General features: G+C 35.1%; 1 long non-coding RNA gene across 3 annotated transcripts; it reads left to right on the top strand.

Moving 5' to 3' along the window:
- The first annotated feature begins 1864 nt into the window (after positions 1 to 1864).
- Positions 1865 to 15467, top strand: LOC105373665 (uncharacterized). Of its 3 annotated transcripts, none has more exons than XR_923417.3 (5): positions 2253 to 2450; positions 4587 to 4735; positions 6989 to 7115; positions 14630 to 14836; positions 15306 to 15467. It is a non-coding gene; the product is annotated as an uncharacterized LOC105373665 (long non-coding RNA). The 3 variants fall into 3 exon arrangements; XR_923419.3 differs by lacking the exon at positions 15306 to 15467 and adding an exon at positions 14999 to 15205; XR_923418.2 differs by lacking the exons at positions 2253 to 2450; positions 4587 to 4735 and adding an exon at positions 1865 to 2116.
- Positions 15468 to 21654: the final 6187 nt, after the last annotated feature.

Raw genomic sequence — 21654 nt, 5'->3', positions numbered from 1 at the left:
TTTCTATAATGTTATGGTAGAGGAAAGGGGCAAGATAATCCAAACACACTGAAGGGAGCTCTAAGTACAGGGAAGAACATATACATATTATAGCCACAGGTTTTTTTTTTTCTTCAAACTCATCTATTATTTTGAGTATGATAATACTATGTCTGTGTATGACAGAAAAATTTAAACTTTGTCATCCTCTGGGAGAATGTTCAGGTAAATTGAAGGTATTTCGGAAATTCAGACTAACAAATGCGTGGCTAATTATAGGCATACATTTCAAGGGAAAGATTTTCAGGTAAATACAAATTTGTTTTATTTTATTTTATTAAATTATCCCTTGATTATTAACAATTTGTTGTTTGTGTAAATAAAAATAGTTACTGTACAATTTGAAGGTTAGCCTTTTTTCGTGGTATTATCTTTCATACAGATCCCTGGAGGGTGTTTACTCCGAGGAAATGTTGATCTCTTAAAGATCTGCCACAGAATTCTTCTAGCCTACTTTCTGATCAGCTCCCTTTGTATTATGAGTCTATGAAATGATAAATCACAATTATTTCCTGGTCGATTTCTTCTGGATAACAGTCCTCTTAGCTCCCTTCTCATTCCCAGTAATTAGTGAGCTCTCTTTTCTTTTACTGTTGATGTCACTAGTATTCAACTGACATCTGTCAAAACTTTTGGTATTCTTTACTGAGTTATTATTGAAATGCTTTTAAAATGGATGAATACAACAATCATGAAGTTGTCAATTTTATAATTAATTTTTGAATGAGCTTGTGAGAATGATTGTGGCTTTATAGTATCAGGTGTGAAAGCATTCAAAATTAGTCAAAAGATTTTTTTCCTTTATCTCTTAAATACAATTATGAATTTTAAAAAACAGAACAAAAACAGCATAATGATCTAGATATTATTATTTTAATTGCTACATGGTGGAAAAAAACTTCCTTTATACATTTTTCAAGATGTGTATCTATTTTCTAGTATGTTTTACTTTACCAAATCCTGTTTTAAATAAAGTGAAATTAGTGCTTAAGAGACTGCAAATTTGAATTAATTATAAAATCATAAATCAGATGTTAATTTTGTTAATTCCAAACATATTTAAATATAATGATATTAACAATAAAAAATATAACAACATATTTATTGAGCACTTACTATATGTCAGACACTGATAGGTACTGTTCAAGAGTTAGTTTATCAGATTCAGGTATTAATGCATTTACTCTACACAATTACTTTGGATAGATACTTTAAATTTCCTTTTGTTTTACAGATGAGGAAAAAGACTTACAGGGACTATCTATGTATAGAAATGCATTCGTTTTCAATGTGTGTCTATGTGTGCTCTTTGTAAGTATACATGCATACACAAATACAGACACACACACACAAATTAATATAGCTGTATCAAGTTTTCTGAAGGAAAGACACAACATATTTAACTAGCATATTTTCTTCTTTGTTTTTACAGTGGCTATAATCCAGTTTGTGTCTAATAATTGTCTTCCCTGAAATGCCCATTTTTCTCCAGAAATGGCCTTTGAGTGGAATGTTCTAGCTAAGGGGCTCTCTGTTGTAACGGTTCCCGCAGCCATCAGTACATTAGCTCCAACTGCTGCTGTAGCCATTGCCATTTACATTTCTCCCAGGAGAATTCAGATGAAAAAAGGAAACTGTTAGTGCTAAGTGTGTGCCAGGTTTGGATATAATCTCTAAACACATTCTAGCTGAGCCTAGAATGAGAATATTTTCTTTTATTTTTCAATGGGCAAAAATACTATGTTATAGAGTACAAAATGTGAGTGCATTACAATAAAAACAGTAGTACAGTAAAAATAGACACTCTTATGAGGACAGAAAAGATTTTATTTGGAACAATAGCTTTAAAAGCAGACTCCTGCTTCTCTAAGTTTAAGTATTGGGAAGCCAAGGGGACAAAATTCCAATTTAGTGACTGAACCCTCACTTTTTCCAGATTGTTCTTCCCTTAAAACAGGTAACAACAGTGATTGTAATTTCAACTAAGGAGTTTGGCACTAATTCAAAATGAGGATTTTAATAAACTTCACTGTTATCCTAACATCTCCTCTCTTCTCCTAAAACCATATATGTGAAGGTATGTGTACATTCACCTACATATTTCTTTGCCTATTTTTTCTTTTAACGTTTTATTCTTCTACACTTCAGTTTTGCTGAAAGTTATGTTCTAAGTCATAAGAGGGGGGTTTCATGTAAATCTGTAGCCGAGAAGACTGGGAATCATGAAAGTCTTTGGAAATTAAACCCTTTATCTTCAAAATGTGGTGTTATTGCTTCTGAATGGGAGAGTTAAAGGCTGAAACCTGCTGCTAAACGACCTTGCTCAATATGTTTGTAGGTGCAGCTCAAAGAGAATCCAACGGATTCCTTCTTGTTTCTTTGCAAGTAGGTGACGCCTCACAGTCAATATGGTAAAGTCTGACACACTCCACAGAGAGGGAGGGTAGAATGTTAGTTTGAGCACAACTGGAAAAGGTGTAATTAGAGAGTGAAACCATAATAATAGAATAAATAGAAAACTTAAAAAATAAAAGTAAAATAAAGCAAGAAACTGTGAGTAAAAATTCGTGTAAAAGATCAAAACTAAATTAAACCGTCCTAATAATACCAGAGCCTCCTGGAGTTTTAAATCAGAAATATTATAGCAGAATAAACCCAAATATAAATGACTTAAATAACCATTCCAGAATCCCACAAAACCATTCATCCATACTTCAATTTATTCACTTATTAGTGTAATTGGTAAACCAAGAACAGTATTGTGGCCTTCTGACCATGTGAGATACCAGAAGTTAGACTCATTTTTAAATCACAAAGGTACTATTAAAAGCAATATTGAAAATTTTAATGAGATGGGATAATGCAAAGAGGCAGTCTTGGTAAATGATTAAGTGACTGTTATGTTTTTATTAGGTTTACTGCTTCTGGTATATATATTATTAGGGTGGTGTGTAAAAGTGATATGACAGAAATTGTTTTTTCATAGATAATTCCACCACTTTACTTCTGAACAAGATTAAAACACTATTTTGTTTTACAACTCCTACCAATCCCTCATACACTTTTCTTTTGTTCTCTACTTCTCTTTCTTCTCAAGATTCCAAACCTAATAGAGTATAAATGCGTGTTCATGGCTGGGAAGTAAAATGAAATTTGATAGTTGTTGAAGGACAGTATTGAACTAGTTCAGTGACTTGCCTTTTTTAACATAATCCTAGGTATTGAGTATATAGTTGTGGCAAATGGATAGGCTTGATGACCCGAATACATTACCTATTCCTTTATCCATACCCTGTGCTCTGTATCTTTGCAATTCCTATTAAAAGGGTTGGTGTCTATTTGCCTATCACATCAACTGCACATAGACATGTGATTTGCTTTAGTCAAAAGAATGTTAGCAGGCTTCATACAAGCAAAGGCCTAAAAAATTGTTTGTATTGTACATTTTTACTTACTCCCTTTGAAGCCTGCCCTATCAGATCATGCCTGAAGTAGCATATGAAGGATGAGAGACCAGGCAGGACAGTGTCAACTTACCAATGCCAACAACCCCCTAGATCACCCAGCCTCTATACTGCAAAACAGCTAATCACAGATATATGTGGGAGTCCAGAAGGTCCCAGTGAAGCCCAGCAGAGATAAGCAGAATCCCCAACCTACTAATACATATGTAAGAAAAAACAAGTCATTGTTATATAAAGCAGTTAACATTTGTATAAAAATGTGAGATGTTTGTTAAGCAGCAATAGATAACTAACACAACATCTCAAAGATTTATACTCTTCATCTTTAAAAGTAACATCATTTGGAATGTCAAGGGGGAATAGGTTTTGGTTTGTGCCAGATACCATATTAAGAACATTATTAATATTAACATTATCATCCTCACAATCCTATACAGTAAGTAATAGTAAAATCAACACTTTAAATTAGTAAACTGAGACACAGAAAGGATAAGTGATTTGTCCAATAATATATATTAGGTAGGGCTTGACTTTTCAACCCACACTATTTAGCTCCAGAATATGGGATTTTCAGCTACTGAGCCATATTAAATAAGACTACCACTCTTCTGGTAAAGCATTGCCTTTTGCAGGGATAGGTTCAGGCTGTTGCTTCTTTTGTTCATTGGAATTTTCTTCCATGTGATCACTTTTCTAGTCTACTGTTTTTGTATAATCCATTGAGATACGTTCATGGATTATTTCTTCAGATCTCAAAAAGCCTAACAAATGAATAAATATAATTTCAAAAGACTAGTCAGAATTTCAAATGAACACAGTCCACACTTCTGCTCTAGTATGCTATGAATATGACTTTAAATATAATTTCAAAAGACTAGTCAGAATTTTAAATGAACACAGTCCACACTTCTGCTCTACTATCCTATGAATATGACTTCTTATATGTCAAACATAAATGTTCAATTATTTCTTAAACAGGAAGGCTATTTAATCAACATTCTTTCCCTCTGCTCTTCATTTTTTTGTTGTTTGTTTAATCAGTTTTGAGAACAAAGGTAAGGCAAGTATTGTATTATATGCTAGGCAAGAATTTTTCACTGGACAGAACTCACAGGCCACGCAGACTAAATCTGGAGAAACACCCATGTGGGAATCAAACAGGAAATCCTAACACCTGATGACTCCACCTGTTCCCCCAACTCACTCCAGGCACAGCTGAGGTGATTAACAAGGTATCATGTCTACTTCCTGTGTGGAATCTATTTCATAGCTCCAGGGATTGCTGCTCTTCCTGGATGATTATTTCCCAATGTTTTTAGGAAGACATTTACTTAAACCTGTGATATCGCTAGGGAAACGTAAGGAAAATGTTAAAAATAACTGCGAGAAGGGAGGAGAGAAAGTCTGTATTTTAAAATACAAAATGAATGAACTTTGTATTTTGGGAAGAGACCAGTTGTATGTGAAGAGCTGAGTTCGACCTTCAGAGTCAAATGATGTTTGACCACTCCCTCCTACTCACCCAAGTGTGAAATATGAGAGCAGAGGGACCCTTATTGAATTTAAAGGGCAATAAATGTAGACCAAATAAAAAGAAATATTTTCTCACACAGCATATAGTTAACCTGCAGCATTTCTGGCTCCAAGGATCATTTAATTAAATAATCTGCACAGACAGAATTAAGTAATTTTATGACCACTAATAACATCTTCAGTGCTACAAAGTGAATATGGTGAAGGTAAATCAACTCACATTCTTCAGACATAAGTTAATTGTCCATAGAAGATAAGAATAATTTTCTTTCCAAGTGGAAATAACACTGGACCACCCAATAAACCCCCACTGACTTCCTTATAGGTAACAGGAGAGAAATTTAGACTAATCATTTCTCCAATTGTGAACACCCCCCCATATAACATTGATGCCAAAACCATTAATGGTTGAATCTATCTTGGCATCTCTATTATATTTTATACACAAGTAAAGGTTTATAGCAGGAAAATCTATAAAAGTTGGGGAAATAAATTAGAGAAATTAATGATAGATATTAATACTTTCAATTATATAATTGAAAAAAACAGTAGTGTTTCATTGGCTACCCAAAATTTGGTATATTTCCTGACAGACAGCTTTAGTTATTGAAATACTAGAAGATTTTTAGAGGAAAATCTGGGGGTAGACTGCCATAATAAAATGCCACAGACTAGGTGCCTTAAACTACATATAGGTATTTTCTCACATTTCTGAACTGTTGAAGTTTGAGATCAGGGTGGCAGCATATTCGGGCTCTGGTGATGGCCTTCTTCCTGACTTGCAGACAGCCACCTTTTTCTTGTGTCCTCCCACAGTGTGCAAAAAGAGAGGAAAAGAGCCAGCTCTCTGATGTCTCTTTTTAAAGGTCACTAATCCCAACATCAGGTTCCCACCCTCATGACCCTCATCTAAACCTAATTAGCCCCCATCTCCAATACCATCCCATTGGTGACCATGTCTTAAACATATGAGTTTTTCAGGTTGGCGGGGGTGGGGGTACACAATTCCATCTATAGCACTAAATAGTCACTAAATCCACAATCTAATCAATAAATAAGGAGATTCTCATGACAACCAATTTGTATATCCAAACTCCAAATACAAACCAGGTATTATTCTTGGCAGTAGAGGCACAAAGGGAAAAAAAAATCCTTCCTTCATCCTTCATCTTAAATTGTGTTTTTAGTTTGTTCAGGGAGGTACATAGTACATATACAAATAAATGATATTAATGCAATGTTTTACATAATATAAAGAGAGGGTGTAACTAATGCTTTGGAATCACAGAGAGAAAAGATGGTAGAGGGAAAAGTAATGAGTAAGAGCTTGTCAACTAGACAAAAGTATTCAAGAAGAGTTGCAGAGTTAACTGCCATTACATAACCAGGCAGAGGGAGAGAATATGTCACATTCTTGACAGACATGGCCAGTAGTACAATCTGGCTGAATCATATCATGAATGACAGGGAACTGATGTTATTTATCTGAAAAGGTAGCTGGAGATCAAATGTGAGACCAATTGCTTCTGTGGAACATAAAATCATACATTTCTAAAGTAGAGGATCAGCAGTAGAAAGGTTAGTAAAAGAGAAAGTGTATTCAACAATTTTTCTCATATTTTCTACAAATAGCAAGAAATGCCTTACAAAGTGACAGCTCAGTAGCGTTCCCTTCTCCAGAATTTTAGAATGGCATTGACAATAGGAGAATCTGAGGCAGCTAGACAAATCTAGGGCATCTGCACAAAAAGCTAAATGTGTGATGGAGACACGGCTACCAGCTCTTGAGCAAAAGAAACTGAGAGATGGATTATGGTTCTTCATATAAGTACTGAAAATTAAGAGAGTTGTAAATAAATTATCCTAGGAGAGACTTGACCATATTGCATCAGATTGAACTGATTTAGGCAACTGAAATTTCCTTGTGATTCACTTTCATACTCTCTTCACAGTACTAGTAAACTAGGCCTTGGACACATACTGGATTTCGTTACTTGTCAAAACATGCGTGACAGAGTGTTCTTGATTGATTTGAAGTTTCATTACAAGATCCTGTCAGAGGGAAGAAAACTATGGAAGGTATTATATAGTTCAAGTAAATAAGTAAAAATTAATTAAAATTAAAAGTTGCCAGAAAAAATCAAATATTACAGATTTGTGTTGTGCATTGATTCATATTACTATTGTTATTTTTATTGAGGAAATAATCTATAATTTTTCTCTTTGCTGAGATGACTTTGATTTTAATTATAAACAGCATTTAACATAATTTCTAATTAATTTTATTTTACATGGGTTTCTCTATATACAGCATAAAACTAAAAGTTGAGTGGCACTGAGGTATTCCCATTCTTGAATTGGGGTACATTTATATCTTTGGAGACTGGGGATTTGGAATTCTGTTATTTTAAAGGAATAAAAGCTTTTAAATGATGAGAACATCAAAATGAGGTCAGATGGGCAACTGCAAAGAAGACAGTTATAATATTTCATCATACTCTTTAGCTCTGTTTACTCTGCTCATCATTTTTCAATATGTGATTTATATCTTTGTTATTATTAAATTTTAAAAGGTTTATAAAAACTTTAAAAAGTTTAAATAAAACTTTGGCCATGTGGCCTAGAAATTATATACATATTTTCTCCTGTGTTAAATGAGCACAACCTACATCCTCAACTTATCCACTGTTAAAGTTTTCTGTGGGAAACACATTAACCAATTTACTCTGGATTACTTCTTTGTATAATTTTGTAAAGTCTTTACTTTCCTCATGTTTAGTTTTATCAAATAAATTAAGTTCTTCAAGCTTTTATATTTTTCCTATAACTCAACAGCATAATCCTAGAAGACTAAAATTTAAAGTGTCTTAAAATATCATACAAAACAAACAAAAATATGAAAGTCTTATTTATGAAGCAGAATCTACATTCTCATAGAATATATTTTGATGAATAATCTTATTTAAAGTGTTTTGAAGTGACCCAAACCTAATCATACTTATGTTCATTGTGATGCTTAGAATATACTGACCATAAACACAATTTAAAGGTGCTTACAGGAAACTCACTAGTTACTCCTTTTAAGCATCAGAATAGAGTTTACGGTTACTCACAATCATTCTTTTTTGATTGCCTGCTTATTTTTTTCCTATTAAAATTGTGGATGCTATCAAAGAATACAATAAGGTTATGTAATGGAATTTAAACACACTTTATTGCAACAATATAAGTTCCATGTACGGTTATAAGCAATATGGCTGTGCTTAATAATCTTACATTGCAAGCATAATTGTGGTATCAAATTAGGAATTTTCACAAAGTACTTGCATTAGAAATTGGTATGATACAATATATTTCAATTCTCAGTTGCACAGGAAGATAACAATTTGTTTAATAGGAGAACTGGGGATACAGTTCATACTCTTAGATCTGATTGTCCTGTTTATACAAAGCTCAGATTCCTAGTCATAGAATTTTAGAGCTTGAAGAGACCTTAGAGATCATATAGTTCAACAACTTTATTTTATAGAAAAGAAAGTAGAAGTTAAGGGAAGTTCTTTGACTTAATGTAACATAGAAAGCTGGTGAAGGAGCTAGAATGGAAACCACTTTTTAACTTTCTTAGGACTGCAAAATGAAGTTGGGGCAAAAGGCTTAGACTTGAAAATCTTATGCACAGAAATGGTATTAAAGCCATTGGGTTGGACTGAGTCACTGAGGAATTGAACAGGAGGTGCATGTCAACCTGTAGTTTTTGAGCAGAAGAGAGAAAACCAGCAAAGAAGGCTGCAAAAGTAGCTGGTAAAATGTCAAGAGAGTATGGGATGATGGAGCCCATCGAAAGAAATAAGGGCTGGTTCCGTATCAAATGCTGCTGAAAGATCAAGTAACCAATGCCAGCTTAAATGACCATCTGGTTTAGCAATATAGAAATCACTAGTTTCCCTGGCAATGGAGGTTTGAAGCCTGATTGGAGTCGATAGAGGTGAGAAAGTATAAAAAGTGACTGAAGGCATTAAGCTCAGGATGCTTTACTATGGTGACAGTAGCTGCTGGGAAACTAGACATTAAATGACATCTTCATTAAGCTACTTCTTCAAGTTTGTACTTCCAGTAACAAAAAACAGCAACGTTTAAATTGTTGTGAGAAAATGGTTTCTGATTTCTTACCTCGGGCACATGCACAGTGCTTTGTTTTGGATGACATTATTAATTAACCACTCATTCTAAAATAAAATGTGTGCTCAATTTGTTAAATGCTGTGGAATCCCTGAAGGTAAGGGACAAAACTCTTATCATTCTCCATTGTGTCTTAACCTGGGACTTAGCTAAACCTGGGACTTAGCTAAAACAATTCACGCTTCTCCCAGCAAAACCTCACTAAGACACTCTGTGTCTAAAGCAGCAGTCCACCTTAAAGACTTGTTTCTTTTAGCAGAGAGCTCATCAATATCTGCACAGCCTCACAGGCAGCTAGGAGGCCCGTCCATTAATGAAATGTTAATGACTGAATTAGACCTGTAATAACTGAAGTAGGATGCACTGCTGTGAGTCCATTAGCATCAGCAAACCCCGCTGAGAAACAAGTAAACACAGCATACAATGAGAAAACTTTCAGGCAGAGGAGTTAGAAGTGTACAGGTGTTTTCACATGGAAAATGACATTTCCCTGAAATAGGATTAGTTTATTTAGGAAAGCTAATCCCATTCACCATATTTCTTCAGGGGAAAATAAAGAACACAAGATGGATTATGTACTTATTCAAGATTGTTTTGATTTTTAAAATTCTAATATTGCACAATTGTTTCCTCAAAACATTTTAGGATCACTTGCCTTTATCATCAGGTGCCAAATATGGCAAACAACTATGCTTTTCTTTTTTTCTTGCCTTGTTCTTTTTCTGGCTTTTTAAAATTTTTGTTATATTTCCCTCTTTTAAGCTTTCCTTGCTTATTGAAAAGCAAGATTTTTGTAAAAAGCAAGAAAAGACTGTGAACCATACAATCTTCCCAATATACCTATCCATTTTCAAAAAGAGGAAAATTATTGGGAGATTTAGGATACTTTTTGAATCTTGATTAATATAAGATTATTGTGGAATTCATTTCTGAGATGTAAATATAAATCATATGGCATATAAAGCAAAAGCTGTTACATATTAGCATCTAGTTCAATTCTATAATATATTGCCCTTGTAATAAGCTTGAAGATTTACCATTTTTATTTAAACATATATTGTAATTCAATAATACTTGAATTGTAGCAACTTGATGTAAGGCAAACATAATTGCCATCCCAAGTTATTACAAAAGACAGAATAGCTAAGGCTAATTCTATTAGATTTCTTTACTACATCTACTGTGGGTCTTACTGCCCCATTTTCATATTTGAATCTCTAACCACAGCTGAAAATAACATATATGTGGTTTGAGAATTGGACCTTAGTGTTTGCTTGGTGGATGTTTTAGAAATACATATAAAAAAGCTATAAAATCAATATCATATTTTTGTGTTAAATAAAATAGTATATATCAAATATAGTAGTTCAATAACAAGTGTTGCAGCTTATGCTTAACCTCAAACATCCTTCCAGGTCTGTAGTTCTATATTTATCAATAACCAGTCATGTGACCCTAAATCAAATCCTTTAACCTTTCAGGGATATTTGAAAAATTTTGAAAAGGAAGCTTTATAAAAGAAAACATGATAAACATTTAAACTTTACATTTATTTGAACTTTAAACTTAAATAATTATTCTCCCTGATACATTAAAATATAAGAGGTGCAGATAAATCAAAGAGATAAGAGAAAATGAAAATAAAAGGTATGTTAGAAATCTAATCAGCTAACTGTCCCACAAAAAAGGAAAAATCGTATCAGTGGAACCCAAATTCATAGAAATCATGCAGTCTACATGGGTACAAACTAAATATTTTAACTAGAATTTGCAAATACAACAAATCATAAAATATATCTGTTTGAACAAATTGTGCTCTAATACAGCTCCTAAGAGATCAGATTTGAATGGGACAAAAGAAAATACTGACATGTTTCTTTTCTGTAACCTAAATGTTGGTTTGCCATGCAAATCATTCACTCCTTGATTTATGTTTGGAGTGTTCTGGTTATCTTTAGATCTCAAAATACATACATACACTTGCACACACACATACTCACATTATCTTGCTTCTTGAAATCTTTGTCAGGTTTCTTATTTCAGTTTAACTTTGCTGTCCACACGCAAGAAGAGAAGTTCTGCACAGCATTTTGCAAATAGCAAGCATGACACTGGAGTTGAAATTCAGACCATGCAATGAACTGGCCTATAAAGATGAGGTCAATGACAAATAGTAACACCTGACAAAAAGTATTATTATGATTACAGTTAATGGAATGTGTTTCCTCATTCAGAGTGTCCAGAGCCTATAAACACTGCCTTACAATTTTAAATGGCTAAGAAAGAGAAATCCATCAAGCCCAAATGATGCACTGATAACCATGAATATGTAACTTATGGATAATCTATTGGTGGTAGTTTCTGGAACAGTCAAAGATCAAGTAGGTTACATATTGGTAGTATAAACACCATATGAATTACTGCAAACTAACACACTCATAACATCAGTCTCAAGAATATTAGTGAATTTAAAGCCAATTTAGAGTAGTAAGCTATTAGCTTTGAACTGAATCTCAGTATATAAGATTGGATTTCCCCCTCACTATTTTTTTTTTTTTTTGGCTTGGACAACTAATGATTTCAGAATCAAATATCAAAAGGCTTTTGTAATACCAAATGTCTTCCCCTCAAAGTTATTTTTTTCTTTTGTCTTTAGGTATTAGTTATTCTGTAGAATAACGAACAAGATATCCTTAAACTTTTCTTTAGTACAAAATTTCAAGCAAAAAGTTTAAATGTATCATTATTTTTCAATAAGGACAAACTCCCATTAGCAATACATATGCAATCGTACTTTATTTCAATAAATCGGATTGAGATTATAAAGAAATATGGCAAATGTTGTATGCCCTAATGGCTCCTATAATTCTAAAATGTTTAGAATATAATAGAATATACGAATATCTTATTAGTATATAAGATAATGTATGGCTTGCCTGGCTATGAAACATAACAAAGTTTCCAAAAGTAAGCTTGGATCAGGATTCAACTAACTTCACCCCAAAGAAATGGAAAAGCCCTAGAATAGCACATAATTGAGTAGAAATTCTAGGGCCCATGAAACACAGCTGTCATTGCCCCTTACTTGCAACGGTATTGGTCATTCTTCAGGCTGCTACATGAATATCCGTTGGCCCTTTCTGTAAAAAAATTATAATGTAGAAATTAAAAATTTTATTTGTAATCCAGAAACCCCAGCAATGGTACTCCCTCACTGTTCCTCTATGTTACTAACACTCATAGAAAATCTCTCTAATACACTAAATTGCAGTTAGAGAATAAGAATTTCTAGTTAGGCCGGTGCAGTGGCTCACGCCTATAATCCCAGCACTTGGGGAGGCTGAGACGGGTGGATCACCTGAAGTTGGGAGTTCGAGACCAGTCTGACCAACATGGAGAAACCTCGTCTCTACTAAAAATACAAACTTAGCCAGGCATGGTGGCACATGCTTGTAATCCCAGCTACTTGGGAGGTTGAGGCAGGAGAATTGCTTAAACCCAGGAGGCGGAGGTTGCGGTGAGCTGAGATGGTGCCATTGCACTCCAGCCTAGGCAACAAGAGCGAAACTCCATCCAAAAAAAAAAAAGAATTTCTAGTTAATCAAATAGCTATTGTATTCATTCATTTGTTCGTACATTCTCTTTTATAAAATTATGTTAAATATCTATCATATATAAGGGAGTTTTTTTGTTTATTTATTTATTTATTTATTTATTTACTTGAGACAAAGTCTCGCCCTGTCGCCCAGGCTGGAGTGCAATGGTGCGATCTCGGCTCTACAACCTCCGCCTCCCGGGTTCAAATGATTCTCCTGCCTCAGCCCCCTGAGTAATCCCCTGAGTAACTGAGATTACAGGTGCGTGCCACCACGCCCAGCCAATTTTTGTATTTTTAGTAGAGATGGGGTTTCACCATGTTGGCCAGGCTGGTCTCAAACTCCTGACCTCGTGATCCACCCGCCTCCACCTTCCAAAGTGCTGGGATTACAGGCGTAAGCCACTGTGATGGCCAAGGTAGTTTATTTTATGTGCTGTTTGTTCACCGCTCTCAAACATTTCAGAGTGCAGTAGAAGGTGTTTCATTCATTTATTCATTCATTTATCCATTCAGTCTATTTTCTGAACCCCTACCATATTCCAAGCACTGTTATAAATATAGAGAAAGAGACAAGAAGAAAACTGTCAGGATCCCTACTTTTACAGAGCTTACATGCTCATCATGGAGGGAGTAAAAGTAAAATGTCAATGAATAAAACAAATTTAATGTCAGATAGATAGGAATCAAGAAGGAAACTAGAACAGAGTGAAATGATAAAAGTGGCTGTGGTGCTGTTTTAGATAAGGTGGTCTGAGAAGGCCATTTAGAGAGGATGTTTAAGGAGAGATCTGAACAATGTATTAGGGAAGAGTTTCAAAGCATAGAGCAAAATAAGTGCCAGTGCCTGAGGAGGGAGTTGACTTGGTGTGTTTCTGGAAGAGCAAGTAGACTAGTGTGGCTGAAGAGGAATGAGGGTAAGTGGGGAGACTATAAAGAACCAAGGCAGGAAGGACATGCCAAAGATTTGGGGACTTTATTCAAAATGAGATTGCAGGATATAAGCTAGTATCATATCTTAATTCCAAAGCTATTTAAAAATAAGTTTATATGGAGATTGAAAAGAAGAATGGCAGAAGCTCTGACTTCACTGAGAGAGTAGAGTCACTGTTGGCAGCGACTTGGAGACGGTCAGGAACTTTGTAACCAAAAGATAACTATGGACACATTGGGCTGGTGGTAAATACAAAATCTTTATAATCCAGGAGTCATTACATATACTTCCTAAGATGGTTAATGATATATAATAATACAACCTATACATGCATCCTGACACTGGATTATTACTAGTTATGACATAACTTGAGACAGATAATCAAACTTCAAAATGCAGTTAGAGCACTTGATTGGGAAAGGAAAAAGAAAACTAGGTCCAAGGCAGACTTGATAGGAAAAATATGTCAAGAAAGAAAAAAAAATAGTCAAAAGGACTTGGCAGAGGATAGAAAAGTGGGGAAGCTAGTCACCATGTCAGATTTTTAGCTGTATACCTGCCTTTTCCCGGGAATGGTCTTCTGCTTTCCCGCTCTGAATTGTTATCTCAAAATAACTCCTTTGTTTTTTCAGAAGGATGGAAATTATTCTGTCTGTGGTTAACATTTGTTTTGTAGGGGTTCATATTTATTTGCCATTCTACAGTAGCCTGCCTACTTTAACAAGTACTTTCCAATTGCTCTATTATTTCTCAGAGTTACATTTTGCCTCTAATTAGTTTTTATTTTGTAAACGCCTCCCATTTCCCATTGATTTCTTGAGCTTTCTGGCTTATCCTTTGTTAAGGAAAGAGAAAAGATTATATATATATATTTTTTTTTTCCAGATTAATTCTACTCAGCTGAACTTGTCAGTGATGAGTGTAACTGTGTTTTAAAGCAGAATTCCAAGTCTTCAGGCATGGCAGAGAATCAACTGGTTACTCAAGATATGATCACCAAACTATTAGATACACTGGTTATAGTCCTCCTGGTTAAATATTTCAAAAACACTCAATTAAGAGGTCAATCGATATAGTTGTGCAAATCCAAAGGTGAGTTCTTGGGTGAAATAGACATAGATAGTCTCTACATCTCACTCTACGATATCTTCTCTCTAGAAATATTGTTTCTTATTTTTTTTCCTTCTTGCAAATTTGAGTTCAAAAGGGCCTAATGACTATTGTTTTCTCCCTTATCTGTGTTACCATTCACAGCTTTGTAATGCAATCTGAATGTAAACCCAATTGACCCTAGTAAAAGTGAAGTCATGGAACTAGTGCATCTATAGAGAATAAAAAAGCAACAGGTTTCTAATGACAAATGCAAGGCAAATTTCTCTCCCTTGGGTCAATTTCAGCAAAATGGGTGGGCACAGCACATTCCCTTCCATTTGGAGAAAGATAGGGCAAAGCAGAGACGACCAAGAGGTGATTTTGCACTTTTTTGACTAGATGGCTACAAATTGAATGTGAACTATAATCTTAGTACAGGAAGCTCAATGATTCTTTTTTTATCTTGCAGTTTTGGAAAATGGAGACATACTCTGAAGAAGGAAGAATAAAAAGTAACAGAAAAAAAATGTTGTTTGCAAACTGGACTATTCTTGCTTATACATCTCTATAAATACCATGATTAATTACAAGCTGTAAGGAAAGGAGAAAGAAAATAATTGTTGATTTCTTACTTTGTACTGTGCTCATTATATAGACAATTTCATTTTATCTTTACAAATTCCTTCATATTCATCTCTATTTTGAGATTAAAAAAAAGAAAAGGAAACTGAGGCGTAGCAAGGTTATCAGCTGAGTTTTGAACTACATGGCTCTAAAGACTGTCTTGTTCACTAGGCCACTGAACATGGGGCTTTGTACAATGTGAGCTCCTGGTCCCTGGTCCCAAGTGGGTCTGAGGTGAGACTATATTTTTAAGAAGCTTTACAGATTATTCCTCTAACCAATCAGTTTTTTTTTTTTTTCCAATCACAGCAACAGGCTGTGCTCCCTCTCAGAGAATCAGTAGCTGATATCAGGATGCTGAAAGCAAACAAAAAGCCCAGTGGTAAAGACAATGTATCCAGCACACCATGCAATTAGTAAGTTACTTTGCTGAATTGTCAGAAATATGGCTTAAACTTTTCAGGGCCAAGACAGTGCATGAATATGAAATTGCAAAGGGAAAAATATAAATAAGAGCATCTTGTGATGTTGACACAGGGCTATAAAGAAATGTACCTTAGAAGGTCACAGCACACACAATAGACATTGAAGTTTCCAAATGAAAATAACTCCTTGACTAAGAGAGAAAAAGACAAAGAAAAGCAAGTGAGGAGATGAATAGTAGTGAAAGACATTGAATTCCTCTACCTTCATTCCAGTGTGAGTGACTCCTAAAAGATGGGAAATGAAAGGATCCATATGACACCAAACCAAAGAAATGGAGCTGAAACTTTCATGGAAAAGAGATATCAATTAGCCTGGGGTGTGGCTGACTTTTAATGTATTTAGTAGAGCTCCTGAGAGTGCTGGGATGCTGAACATAGAAGCAAATGGAGCTCTGAGGCCATCACGCCCATTCAAGAAAATAAATAAAGCTTAAGGGGTTGGAAGGGTGGTGAATATACTATGCATCTTAAGCTAGGAAAGCTTGACTGTTCCTTTGCCATTGTACCTCAAGGATGGTTGCATAATAATTTTTTTATCTAAATTTTGTTAGACCTCTGGAGAGAGGATACTTTTGCTGTGTTTCTGTTATTGGAAAGGGGTCCTGATCCAGACCCCAAGAGAGGATTCTTGGGTTTCACACAATAAAGAATTTGAGGGGAATCCATAAAGTGAAAGCAAGTTTATTTAAAAGGTAAAGGAATAGGCTGGGCGCGGTGGCTCACTCCTGTAATCCCAGCATTTTGGGAGGCTGAGGCAGGCAGATCACGAGGTCAGGAGATCAAGACCATCCTGGCTAACATGGTAAATTCCCGTTAATGTTAAAAATACAAAGAATTAGCTGGGTGTGGTGGCACGTGCTGTGGTCCCAGCTACTCGGGAGGCTGAGGCAGGAGAATTGCTTGAAACTGGCAAGTGGAGATTGCAGTGAGCCAAGATCGCACCACTGCACTCCAGCCTGGGAGACAGAGCAAGACTTTGTCTCAAAAAAAAAAAAAGAAAAAAGAAAGTAAAGGAATAAAAGAATAAAAGAATGGCTATTCCATAGGCAGAGCAGGAGGGCTGCTGATTGTCCATTTTTTTACGGTTATTTCTTGACTATATGCTAAATAAGGGGTGTATTATTCATGAGTTTTCCAGGAAATGGGTGGACAATTCCTGGAACTGAGGGTTTCTCTCCTTTTTAGACCATATAAGGTAACTTCCTGACATTGCCATGACATCTGTAAACTGTCATGGCACTGGTAAGAGTGTCACTTAGCATGCTAATGCATTATAATTAGCATATAATGAGCAGTGAGCACAACCAGCGGTCACTCTCCTTGCCATCTTGGTTTTGGTGGGATTTGGCCAGCTTCTTTACTGCAACCTGTTTTATCAGCAAGGTCTTTATGACCTGTATCTTCTGCTGACCTCCTATCTCATTCTGTGACTTAGAATGCCTAACTTACTGGGAATGCCGCCCAGCAGGTCTCAGCCTTATTTTACCCACCCCCTATTCAAGATGGAGTTACTCTGGTTCAAACACCTCTGACATTTCTGTTACTTCTGGGAATATTCAGAAAAGGAAAGAATTTCAGCCCTCTCTTTACAAGATCCCACTTACCTTTTTAGTAAACTGCCCTTCAGTTTCTCTCTTTCTCTCTCTTTTTTTTCTCAAGACAGGGTCTCATTCTGTCACCCAGGCTGGAGTCAGTGGCTTGACCACGACTCACTGCAGCCTTGACTTCCCAGGCTCAAGTGATCCTCCCACCTCAGCCTCCTGATGAGTAGCTGGGAATACAAGTGCAGGCCACCATGCCCAGCTAAATTTATTATTTATTATTTTATTATTTTTGTATGGATAAAGTCTTGCTATGTTGCCCAGGCTGGTCTCAAACTCTTTGGCTCAAGCAATTCTCCCACCTCAGCCTCCCAAAGTGTTGTAATTACAGGTGTGAGACACTGCTCCTGGCCCATGAGTTTCTCTTAAGGTGGAGAGGACGCCCCCACAGAACCTGATTGTAGATGCTTCCATAGCTCCAGGTCAATTGGGCAGGAGCAGATGGGGACAGATAACACTAAAGACATGGCCATGATAACATCTATGACAGCAGTTCTTAACCTTGTCTATAATTACAATCTCCTGGGATTTTTTTATTATTATTATTTGCTAGTACCCAAGCAACACCCCAGACTAATTAATTCAAAATCTTTGAGGGTGGCCCCCAAGCATCAATACTTTTTAAAGCTCCCAGAACAATTCTAATAAGCAGCTAGTACTGAAAACCACCAGTGACAGACTTAGCCTGTTTCTCTCAGCATTTGAATATTTTATCCCATAATGTAGAAAATGGAATTTAATGAAAATTATACCTGTAAAGACATATTAAGTAGTTAAGTATGTATTTGCTTTGAAGACCAGAATGTATGCATACACATCATTATCTTACTTCAAAATCAAAATATATTTCCAGTGTCACAATTCAAAAATGTTAAAAGATCTTCCATGTCATCTAAAAAGAAATTCATTGACATTCAAGAACTTAACTGATCATATGCATATGATCTTGGTTCCTGGGCAAACCGTGACCTTGATTGGTCCTGCAATATCATCCATTACAAAGGTAGCTATTATCCAACTGTCACCTAAATATAAAGCATCTCCTATTAAGGTGATACAGTATACTGTAATGCAAAATTAAAATAATAAATTTAAAAATGTTTTCAGTACCGTTATTTCAGTCCCAAATCCCAAATCAACCATTGCCCTAATTTCATAATGTCACAAGGGGATATATATTTTCCACTGTGATCTTTTCAAGCACCTGGTCCATTGGAAAACTAAAATTTTATCTCTCCCTCCTCTTCTTCTTCCCCCTCTTGTTTTGTTTGGTTTGGTGTTTAAGATGAATGACTATTGTGAGGGGGCTGGTAAAAACATAACGTAGAATTAATAGATTCAATCCTGTCCCACAGAAACCAGCTCATTAGGTACTCCAGGCTCCTTGATGATTAATTTATTATCCTCAACGTAAGGGAAGTATTAAATTTAGAACATTGAGGTTCTTTGGCATGACATACACTGTAGAGAAAAGAAACCTGGATTAGAGGCCAGAAGATAAGAGTCAGTAAATTCAGCTTGAGAATTAACAAATTATACTATTTTTTGCAAACCACTTAACCAACCTCTCTGATGTTGATTCTTTCGTCTGTTAACTGAAAGACTTGGACAATACTGAAGGACTTAGTCCCTTATAACTTGAACTTCTTATGGCATATTTTAGATCTGTGACCTGTGGAAATAATTTCATTTTGAGGAATGATGACAATTCATTTAATGTGTTATAAATCAAATGTGGGGTAAATAAACAAGTTATATAGAGTTCCCAGAAGAGACTGAAAAAAAAAAAAACTTCTTTCCTGTAACTATATATTTTTTATAATTGCAGGTTACACAGACTTACATATTGTTTCAGCTACAAAGCTCTGCCTAACACTGGTTCAGAACGTCCAGGTTATACTAAATATGTAAGATTTATAAAATGACATTACATGTACATATAAATAAAATTCTGATGTGTATTTTTGGACACAATACTGTCACTGCAAACAAATAAAAAGAAAAAAGAAAAAAAAGATGGATCCAAAGTCAAGTAAAACCTCAAATACCAAAAGCTGCATAAATCAAAGCTTAAAATCTGACTGGTAACAGCAGGACCAGATCCATGTGTATAAACTGATGGAGGTGTGGTTTCCAAAGCCACTCAATCCGCTTGTATACACAATGCTTGAATTTATTGAGTTTTGCTGCAGTGACCATTTGCTTCTATGGCTCAAGTTTTGTTTTCTTGAGGGTTTCCCAATCTGTCTCCCTCTTGAGAAAACCACATGAGATTTGTTCTTTTTATCTAAGCCATTTGCATTCCTCTTAGCGTTTCTCCTTTTAAGGTAAAATGAATGTTAATTCATGTTAGTGCCAATGATATTTGGCATATTCTGATTTTAAGGAATGAGATTCTTTCCATCTAGCTCTTGTGGGATAGTGATTGCTACATATTTGAAAGACAGAATAATCCGGCTTAAAAACTCATTGAAAAGTCATTTAAACCATATCCCTGACTACACGCACCTGGCCTCTGGGACAAAGAAGTGAGCTTCATAAGGTTGTCTCCCATTTATTTCATTGACACAATCGATCAGAATGAGTCATTTTAGTAGGATGATGCTGTCTACTTATTCACGGCGCCTAAGACATGGTCACAGATACTGGACCACAGAGAAGGACAGGCCTTGATTGGAGGCAAACAGAAAACATACTCTCCATTGATGTCTGTCACCTTGACTCCTATTGTACACATGGGGTTTATACTGACAAACCATGCCCATTTTCTGATACACACATTTTTCTCAGAGATAATCTGTGCACCTTGTGAATGTTAAACTGATGGTGCACATCACTTGGTTGTTCAGAAGAATCAGCTTCATATACTCTGTTTAGGCTCCAGGTCACAGTCCTTGGAAGGGCCGCTGCTTGCAGCTATCAGATAAAAATGACAATCTTTCCTACACAGTACTTTAAAGAACATATGCGGAAATATTTGATTGATTTTTTTTCTGTGTTTCAGGCTATCCTTGTGAGGATTCTGCTATATTAGGCCTATCAGAACCCAGAAGCAAAAATAGTGCTGATTTTTATACATGCTTTCATCCAGATCTACAAGCAGAAAATCAAGGGCTGTGGATCCTTTTTACCCTCATAATCTAATCCAACCCTTATCCAAACATTTGCATCAGAAGGGATCATAAAGCCTCTAAATTAATAGCATATATGATAAAAGCATATATGAAAAAATGTAAAGTCTTATAGCCTGTCATTTATCAGACATCTTATTTGCATGATAAGAACAGCCCTTAACACAAGAAAAATTCAAACTCTGGGCATCACAGATAAAAGTCAACTGGTTTAGCTCTCATTCATATTTCAGAAATTTACTCAAATACTTTTGTACACATGGTTGTAGCCAAGAGTTGAAAAAATATGAGTACATGTACATTTACATAAATAAATATTTATCTCAATGTATTTATAAAAACATATACCTACATTTATCTATATTCATGTAAACTTTTATAAATTTTATATATATATAAAATATATATATGTGTATATATATATGAATGAAGAGATAAGAACAATCCAATGATGTTAGGACATTGTGTCAACTCTGATGGTGAGAAACTTTTAACTATTGATGCTGTTTTGTCTGAGGTCAAAGGAGTTTGGCTCTGAGCAGTTTTTGTTTTTGTTTTTTTTTTAATTTTAACTCAAATCCTTTCTTCTCCGTGAGATTCTGTTTCTCATATATTTTCACACTTAACAATCTCTTATTCATCAAGGCTTGGTGAAATGGTCACTTCTTTCACACAAGAGTTTGATGTTTACAAATAAGAATAAGCCTTTCTTCCTAAAAGCTTCTATCAAACTTTATCTCTCTTCTTTTTATATGACCTCCTCCTTTTGGTTTTTTATTTTATTTTTGCCCATTTGTTTAGTTGTATAAGAATCTCCTTGAAAAAATACTACTAATAGTAATAATCCTTACTTATTGCATTCTTTGTATTTTATACAATGCCTGACATAAACCCTTGAATAATGTAGATACTTAATACATAGTTTTGAAGATGTGAAAAGAGGTAAAACATTTTTATACTTCGTTGCAGTGGGAAAG

This window comes from Homo sapiens, chromosome 2 (assembly GCF_000001405.40).
Source record: "Homo sapiens chromosome 2, GRCh38.p14 Primary Assembly".
In the NCBI taxonomy this organism is placed as follows: Eukaryota; Metazoa; Chordata; class Mammalia; order Primates; family Hominidae; genus Homo; species Homo sapiens.
The sequence above is the reverse complement of the archived record's forward strand: the minus strand, read 5'-3'. Positions and strand labels throughout refer to the sequence as shown.